At 38.7% G+C, this 8,467-nt stretch overlaps 1 annotated feature.

The window, feature by feature from the left end:
- Positions 5,953-6,561: an enhancer, noted in NCBI's record as "NANOG hESC enhancer chr18:35665211-35665819 (GRCh37/hg19 assembly coordinates)". NCBI's record gives its function as "activates a minimal SCP1, AML or CMV promoter by ChIP-STARR-seq in primed H9 embryonic stem cells {active_cell/tissue: H9 hESC(primed)}" and the evidence as "EXISTENCE:reporter gene assay evidence [ECO:0000049][PMID:30033119]".

Below are 8,467 nucleotides of genomic sequence, written 5' to 3' on the forward strand. Positions count from 1 at the left end.
TGCAGGCACGTTTCAATCAATTCATTCCACTGGACATGGAAGTTGGATATTTTTCAGTTCAAATGGGACTAGAGATAGTACTCTAGCCATTTTGATATACATTAGCATTTAGGTTTCAAGGTGCTTTCACTGCAACTAGAAGCTGTAGGAGTACACTGTTAACATATGAGCTTTGAGTGGGGCAGGTGAGGTCTGAGTGGGGCTGAGAAGATGGCCTCCCTTCAGACAAGGCACAGTGTGCAGTTAAGAACGGCAGATCCTGACCTGACTCACCACTGAGGGAAGCAGCTTGCCTTCATGCTGGAGGTTTCCCCAGGCATGTGGAAGACACAGAACACAGCCAAGTATTCTGCTTTTTAAGTTCCCCATCTTCAGTGACTTTCTTTTCTATTTGCCTCAACAGAGTCACTCCAGAACAACAGCCTGGATTATGTCACATGCCAGACACACACTCTCTGGCCATAGTGTCCACCATTGCTGGTCTCTTAGGCCCCTTTCCACTGCTCCTCCTGCCTTGATTGACCACGTCATTTTCTCCTGCAGTATAAAACACTTTAAAACTTCACATCTGTCTATATTCAGCCTTGCCAGTGATTTAACTTTTTTAATCTTTAATCTTTTCATTGGAAAAATGGAAGTATAATAGGTAGAGCCCACTATGCAGAATTTTTGTAAGAATTGAGTTACTTAATACAAGCAGGTGAGGATGGACTTCTTGCAGTGCCTTAGCTTCATTGGATCGAGCACTCAGAGAGTGGTGGCTCCTGGAGGGCAGGGTGGAGGGTGTGGTAGCCATAGTACTAGAGACCCAGGGGGAAATTCTGTTGTGCTGTCTTGCAGGCATTACTGTTTGTGCTAAGTTGAGAAGCAAATCTGTTTTCCTCCTTTTTCTGTTTCTTCTTTTCTTCCTTCCTTCCTTCCTTCCTTCCTTCCTTCCTTCCTTCCTTCCTTCCTTCCTTCCTTTCTGATTGGTTCTGAAGAATGGCCACACTAATAACATACTTCTAATTAAATATTCAGTGTTCTTTATACTTTTTTGGCAAATATTATACTTTGTAAGTAATTTTTATGTTATATATAATCTGATTAAGTCCAATATATTTTTATTTTTCTTTAATTTATTAAGCAGCTATTAATTTTTTGGTTGATCAATATCAGCATTTATTAAGTTGAAGTTATTGTTCATCAGTCAACTATGACCTTACAAATTAAGTTTTTAAAAACCATTAGCTATAGATGTGTCCACATATACATACTTGAGCTTCATTTGATTAGCCACATGTTGAAGCAGAATTCATGCATAGTCTCAAGAACCAGAAACATTTATTCAACATGTCCTCTAGCCTCATAGATTACCTTACTCAATATTAACAATTTGTGCTTAAAAAGAATGTTTCATGGTAGGGCCCTGGCACATTTCACTAAGTTGTATGTTGGAGATTTGTGTCTGATTCAAGATTCCTGTGCATGTGTTACAGAACCCTCCTATTTTCTATTGTTTGACAAATTTGCACAGGCTTCTCCAGTCAAAAACATCTTTGCCCTGACTGATGGTCGCCTTAAATTGCCAGAGATTCATAGATGTGCAGATCTCCTTGAGATAATGTTTTTGAAATTTCCACCCTGTACTGGTTTCTTCCTGGAACATTCCTCCCACAGATCTCATTATAAAAAAGTTCTTATGTATACAGAGACCTGAATATATTCCCTATAATTTCTATGCAGTGGTGGTGCTTGTACCTTCCAGAACATCCTGTTTTCTGTTATTTAAATGATTGTCTTGTTGCCATATAATTCCACAACTGGAGTTCCATTTCTTGGAATTTCTTTTCCTTGATTGCTCTTTCGAAAAGCAAACAGACGTGTGAGACTCACTGGATTATCTTTCCATAAAACATAATGCCACAAGAAATTAAGAGTGGTTTTTGGCAAAGAGATGTCTTCTTTATCTCTGTAAAACTGTAGTATAGAAGGAAGGGTAGTAGGGGGGTACAACAACACTCTTCCAATCAAGTTATAAGAATTTACTAGCCACTGCTGTTCCCATATCCTGATAACACAATGGCAACGTTTGGAGGGTAGGAGAATTATGAAAAAATGCTACAGAACATGGAATCTTTGGGTCCAGGAAGCTAGCTTTGCAAATGATGAGACAAGTCATGGTTTATTTTATGAGCCAAATATTATGTTTCATTAATATGAAAACAAAGAAGATATGTGTTTCCTTATGAAGGGACATACCAGCTCTACCTCAAACTATGCCTCTCTCATTAATTTCTCTGCTTATTTTGATAAGAGTGGGTTGTAATACACATTGTAACATTGTGATGAAACCTCTCTCTACTCCCACTTTACAACTACTACATTGCTATGCAGTATACACGGTATATGAGTAATAAAGGGAACAACAAAGGAAGTATGGACAGTTCAGGGTAGAACACATTTCATGTTGGAAACTCATGTCTTACTGATGGTAGATGAGAAGAATGCAGTATTTCAACATCACCACAACCACCTTAGTGTTGTTTCCCTTCCTCATCTCTGTCCAGCCCTTCTTTGCAATGTCCCTTGACACTTGCCTTCTGCTCTAGAAAACCCTCCACCAATCTCCAATGCCTTCAGGTTTTATCCTACCCAGTTTTCTGCTAAAATTCTGCCTTATCTTTTAGATCCATTTAAAAATCAATACCTTCCTTGAACTTCTTCCTCATGGTATCAATACTTAGGGCTCTCTCTCTCTCATGAATTTTGCCTATAGAATTTTTATTCCCTGGGTAGTATACTTTCAGAAACTGTTGCTGTTTGTCTAAATGACATTTCCTTCACTGAAGGTAAGTGCCTCTGTTTCTGGGAACATTGCTTCTCGACAAAGCTGTAGCTCAACAGAAAGCTCAGCTTCTCCTGTGGGGTGTCCCAGTTAGAATCTAAGTAGATTGAGAGGGGTCTGCGTGTGTCTTCCCACATCTGGGAAATCTCTAGGGAGAAAAATGACCATTACTGTGGGATGAAAAGGAGTCAGACAAACTCTGTGAAAAAATGGTTTTTGTTTGTGGATGTTGGTGGACAAGGGCAGGAGTCGGGATGGCAGATACGGGATTGATTTCAGCATGGTGTCTATGCATGCTTAACAATTAGCACATTGGAGATGCCAGAGAGGGCTCTGTTGGGGGGTCAGAGGTTCTCCTTCAGCAGGTGGTAAACAGAGCTCATGGAATCTAAATTATTTTACAGTGACCAATTTGTACCCTTAGATTGGTGTGGTCTGTGAACTCTGTTATACAACAATTTATTTACATGTATTATGGGCTAGAAACTTTGTTTTTAAACCACTTTATTGGGGTATGATCCATACAGAAAAAGCTATATATACTTAATATATACAACCTGATGAGATTGGAGATAAGTATGTACTCATGAAACCATCACTGCAATGTATGTCATAAAGTTATCTATCACTTCCAAAAGTTTCCTACTACCTTCTCTATTATTATATTGTAGTAAAAAAAACTTAACACAGTGAGGTCAGGAGATTGAGACCATCCTGGCTATGGTGAAACCCCATCTCTACTAAAAATACAAAAAATTAGCCGGGTATGGTGGTGGGCACCTGTAGTCCCAGCTACTCAGTAGGGTGAGGCAGGAGAATGGCATGAACCCAGGAGGTGGAGCTTGCAGTGAGCCGAAATTGCACCACTGCACTCCTGCCTGGGCAGCAGAGCGAGACTCCATCTCAAAAAAAAAAAAAAAGGAAAGAAAGAAAACTTAACACAGGCTCTATCCTGGACTAGAAACTTTACAGCATTTTTTTACTGATATTATAAAATCCTCTGTGGTAGGGATTATTATTTCCCTTCAAAAGCCCAAGAAACCACCAAGGTTCAGAGAAGCTGAGCAATGTGATCAAGGTCGCACAGCTCATACAGATACGTGGTTATATCTTGATTCCGGACCTAAGCCTCCTTCCAAACTTACCACTTTGCTATGCTTTGGAAGCATTCAATTACAGTTTATTGAAAAATCCAACAAATGAAGATCATGCTAAGGGTTTGAGATAGGGCACTAACTATGGTTTATATGCATCCCTTTAGGATAGAACCCAACTTTATAGTAATAAGATTTATTTCATTTCATGGGATTCTGGTTTTATAAAGCCTATAGCCCCATTAATGATATTAGATTTCATGAAGAAAAGAGCTTTTTAAATGCAGATTTGATATTTTAAAAGGGGAGTATGATCACCCATATTTATACCAAGTTTAGACTAAGCTCTCTGCTACCTCTACCACCCCACCCCCTTGCAGTGGGGAGAAAGCTTATTCAAGGCCAGATGATATAGGGTGCATCATGGGGACAATATTCTTATTGCTCAATATTTAAAAGCAATAATTTCAGGATACTTAACCTCATAGATTTTCTAATACAGTAAAATTAAATAAAAAACACCCTAAATGCAGCTGATATAACCCCTTCATGTGCAATTAGCAGATATTAAATAGAAACTTTAATATTAGCATTATTCTTTATGCCCCAGTGAGTGGGATATTATTTAAATTGATATGACATATGAGGATATAAATAATTCCTAAGTGTAAATTTAAACTGGAATTTTAGAGTTTGAAATCAGTATTATCAATTCCCTATTTCCCAGTGTATCATTTATTACCAGCCTGAAGATTTTTTTTTCAAAGAGATTAAATTAACATTAAGGCGATGATAAACATTATAAATAAATACAAAAATTGCTATTCCAGAAATCCAGTTGAAAAGAAAGTAAATGAATTGGTGTGGTATCAAATTCCATCTTCCCTAGAAGAGCTCAGACATAGTTCCAAGCATAAATAATCCTCTATAACTTCTTTTGCAATCAAAAATGAAATATATTAAAGCCTGAAAGTATAATTTCATTATCTACTATTCTAGATACGCAAACTAAGATTCAGAAATAGCTGTGGCATGAGGGGAATTCTGATTAGTTTCACACCACTAGTTGGTCAGGGCAGGGGAAAAGCTAGCACTACTGAAATATTAGAGATGTTTTCTGGGTCTGAACACCTCCCTAGGCTTGTCCATGGGGGAAAACTTGAAGGTGACAATGGTGAACCTCTCTTTTTCCAGATGACCCTCTTTCTGGGTGTGTATGAACTTCTCAGTGTAAAGCTTAGGTTGTGTAATCAAATTTGGCTTGTTCTAGTCTATGTTTGTCCTGTAATGGTTTCAGGAAAGCCACACAGCTGATACATTTCCATATCCTTTTCACTTTGAAGATATGTTGCAGAATAATGACAAGGTGAGGTTCCACTGAGTCACATACATGTGGAAAATCAATACTTTTTCTTGTGCTGTGTTGGGGGCCGTGTTTGTTTCATGCCTAGGCATCATAGAGATCCACCCATTGACATCATCCGAGAGCTTCCTAGAATCAACCCTAATCTAAAATAGCTGTGAGGTGCCACAATGTCCAGAATGTCCACTACTAACACATCATTTCATTTTTTTTTTTACATTATGCATTCGAGGCTCCTCTCTTTGAAAGCAAATAACATGGAGGAAGTTGACATATTTTAAAAAATACCATAGATATTCTTTTAAACATGGTGAATTGACCACAACCACAGAAGGAGGAGAGCAAGGTGGAAGGCCTCAGTAAATTACTGGACTGTGGAAATAAGATGATGAAGTGGTAACTGTCTTGGCAGAGGAGAGAGAAAAATAATCCATGTACCTCCTAAGAGGTATTGACAAATTAGTGGGAACATTTGTTCTCTGAAACCCCCAAAAGGCTCAGAGATAGGAGACACTAACAGTATCTGGGTCACAGAAACTGAAAAGAATTTTATATGGTACAAATGATACCTGAAGGCACCTTTCTTACTCACAGAGACCACCTATTTCCTCTTCATTATCACTCCCTTTCTGCCTAAATTGCAGAGGAACTGAATTTTAACATCCGAAAAAATTAAACCACATAGGCCTATCAAAACAATTATGGAATATTTTCCATCAAATATAGTGGAGCACAAAGGCTGAAACACAGTGATTCAATAATTATAGGAGTCTTGCATGTTGGACGGTGAAATTCCTTTCCCTATTTGGCCCTGTTTCCATAACATGATCAGATGAGCATATAACTCCAAGCAGGAGGACACAGTAGATTTCTTGGAAGAAATATAATGACCCTGGTATGGCAAGAAGTCCTACAAATCTCGATGTTTGATGTTCCCACTGGGAAGCCCAGTCCACAGCCCTCTCAGCCTAGTAAGTTGGCAAGCTCCACCCAAGCCTTCAGCTTTCCATTAGCTCTCAAGTTCTTTTTAACATATGGATGCAGTCAAGAATGGCCTGACTTTTGAATAAAGACATCAAAGACTAAGAAGAAACAACAACCACAAACATAAAAAAATACAAATTGAAACAAACAGAGAAGGCAAAGAGCAGAACGCTAATACATGTGTTACATGAGATTCAATTTTGTGGCACAACTGTATTGGAAAGAGATGGTAGGAGAGGGAGAGAGAGAGAGAGAGAGAGAGAGAGAGAGAGAGAGAGAGAGAGAGAGAGATACCTGGGGAAGAAGAGGGGTTAGGGAACTCAAAACATCCTTTATGAAAGGATATCCACAAGTAATGCCAGGTATCATAAACAAAGACATATAAGAATATTTTTTAGAAGTTGGAGAAAAATATTAACATATAATAGGAAGGATATAAAGCTATTTAAACATATACAGTATAAAAGATACATTGTAAGAATTTCATTGTACTTGCCTCTAGAAGGCAGGACAAAGGGAAGAAATTAGGACTGCTGTTTTTCTCTATAGGGTGTAACTATTTGCATTTTTAAACCACAGACATGCATTTCTTTGACAAAATTAACAAAATATTTTTTAAAAATAATTTATCTCCAGATTTCAAGTCAGTTTTACAGATGTCTCAGTTTGAAAAGATTTATCAGAGATCTAGGTTCTTTACCCACTGTCAATCTGGGACTCATTCCTAATGGCTAACACCCCTGAGAGCCTCTATCTGTGACTTAAGCCCACACAATTCCTAAGCCAATGCAGGAGGCAAGGGAGAATGTTTGGGCACATTCTCGGGCGGAGTCTCAGGACCTAGGCATGGCAGCTGAGTTAACCTGTGGCTTTCAGAGTTGTCCTGATGCTCCTAAGAGCCAGACTTGTTGCTCCCAGGACTTGCAGAGCCTGCTGGTTGAAGCTACTGCTCTACCTACCTCCTTTCCTAGGTGTGTGGCTTGACCGTTCTACCTGATGCCCTCTAGTCCCCAGGAGTCAATCTCCACCTTGTCACTTGAGACTTACTTTTGGCTTTGAACCATCTGGAAGACTGATGGCTTGACAATCTTCTCTGAGTTCTCCTCCATAATGATAGACCTAGAACTGGACTCCTCTTCACTGCCAAGTCTCCTGCCATAGATCAAAATATTTCCCAATCTTACTTCCTAGATACCAGACTATTAGCTTATTGCCCCATGACCTGGGGCCATGGCTGAGCCTTGTCTTCTAACTTGATGTCGAGAAGCCAACCACTGAGCTCCTGAATACTGCATCTTCTTCCACAGTGAGATAATATTCCTCAGCCCCTATCCTGTCCAATCTGGCTTGCTTCCTCTCTCCACCCATCTGATTGGCGTGGATCATCATTACGGATGACTTTTAAGTCATCCATAATGCCTTCAAATGGAACATCATTGAGAAATCACAGATACCAGTCCAACATATTACATGCTTTCTTCCTCCTTAAAATATAAATACTCCTAAGAAGATAAATAAGCAATCACTACATTTTCAGTCTAGGACAAAAAAATTCTATAATGTAGAGGCCTGCAGATGGTAGGTAACCAGTGGGCACCTGACCAAAAAAAATGACAGTAAGTTCTTGGAAAATTTTACTGTTTTCTCTGTGCTGCCTGATAACTACAGAACTGTAGCTTTTTCTTTATTATTATTTTTTTAATTTTCCACCAGCACATATGGTGGAATTCTACTATAGGCTCCAGGCTTCCCATTTAACCTCAAAAATGAAGAGAAAGCAATTCCGTAGGTGGTTAAGAATATGTCATAGGCACAAACTCAGCTTAAGGCATTATGAATTTTCTGTGGAGAAAATGCATTTATTCATTCTGCTTTAAGTCAAGATGGCTGAAACCCATTATCTCAAACTTTCAAAAAAAATCCCCTTTGGGATGTGAATAACCTATAAAATATTTCAGTCAAAAATAAAATTTTTGGAGGAAGAGAGGGTCCTGTTCAAACTGATGGGGTAGAGTTCAGGCTTGCAATCATCAAAGCTTTCTCTGAGCCTTCCAGATAGGAAGGGCCATGGAGAGTTAGTGGGTGATATTATCCTAATTATTACTATATAGCATAAGAGGGCCAATCTATTTCTGTAGAATAATAGAGCTAGGATGAGATTTGACAGCATCTGTCACAATAAATGCAAATATATAGAGA

The sequence above is a fragment of the Homo sapiens genome, chromosome 18 (assembly GCF_000001405.40).
Source record: "Homo sapiens chromosome 18, GRCh38.p14 Primary Assembly".
NCBI classification, from domain to species: Eukaryota; Metazoa; Chordata; class Mammalia; order Primates; family Hominidae; genus Homo; species Homo sapiens.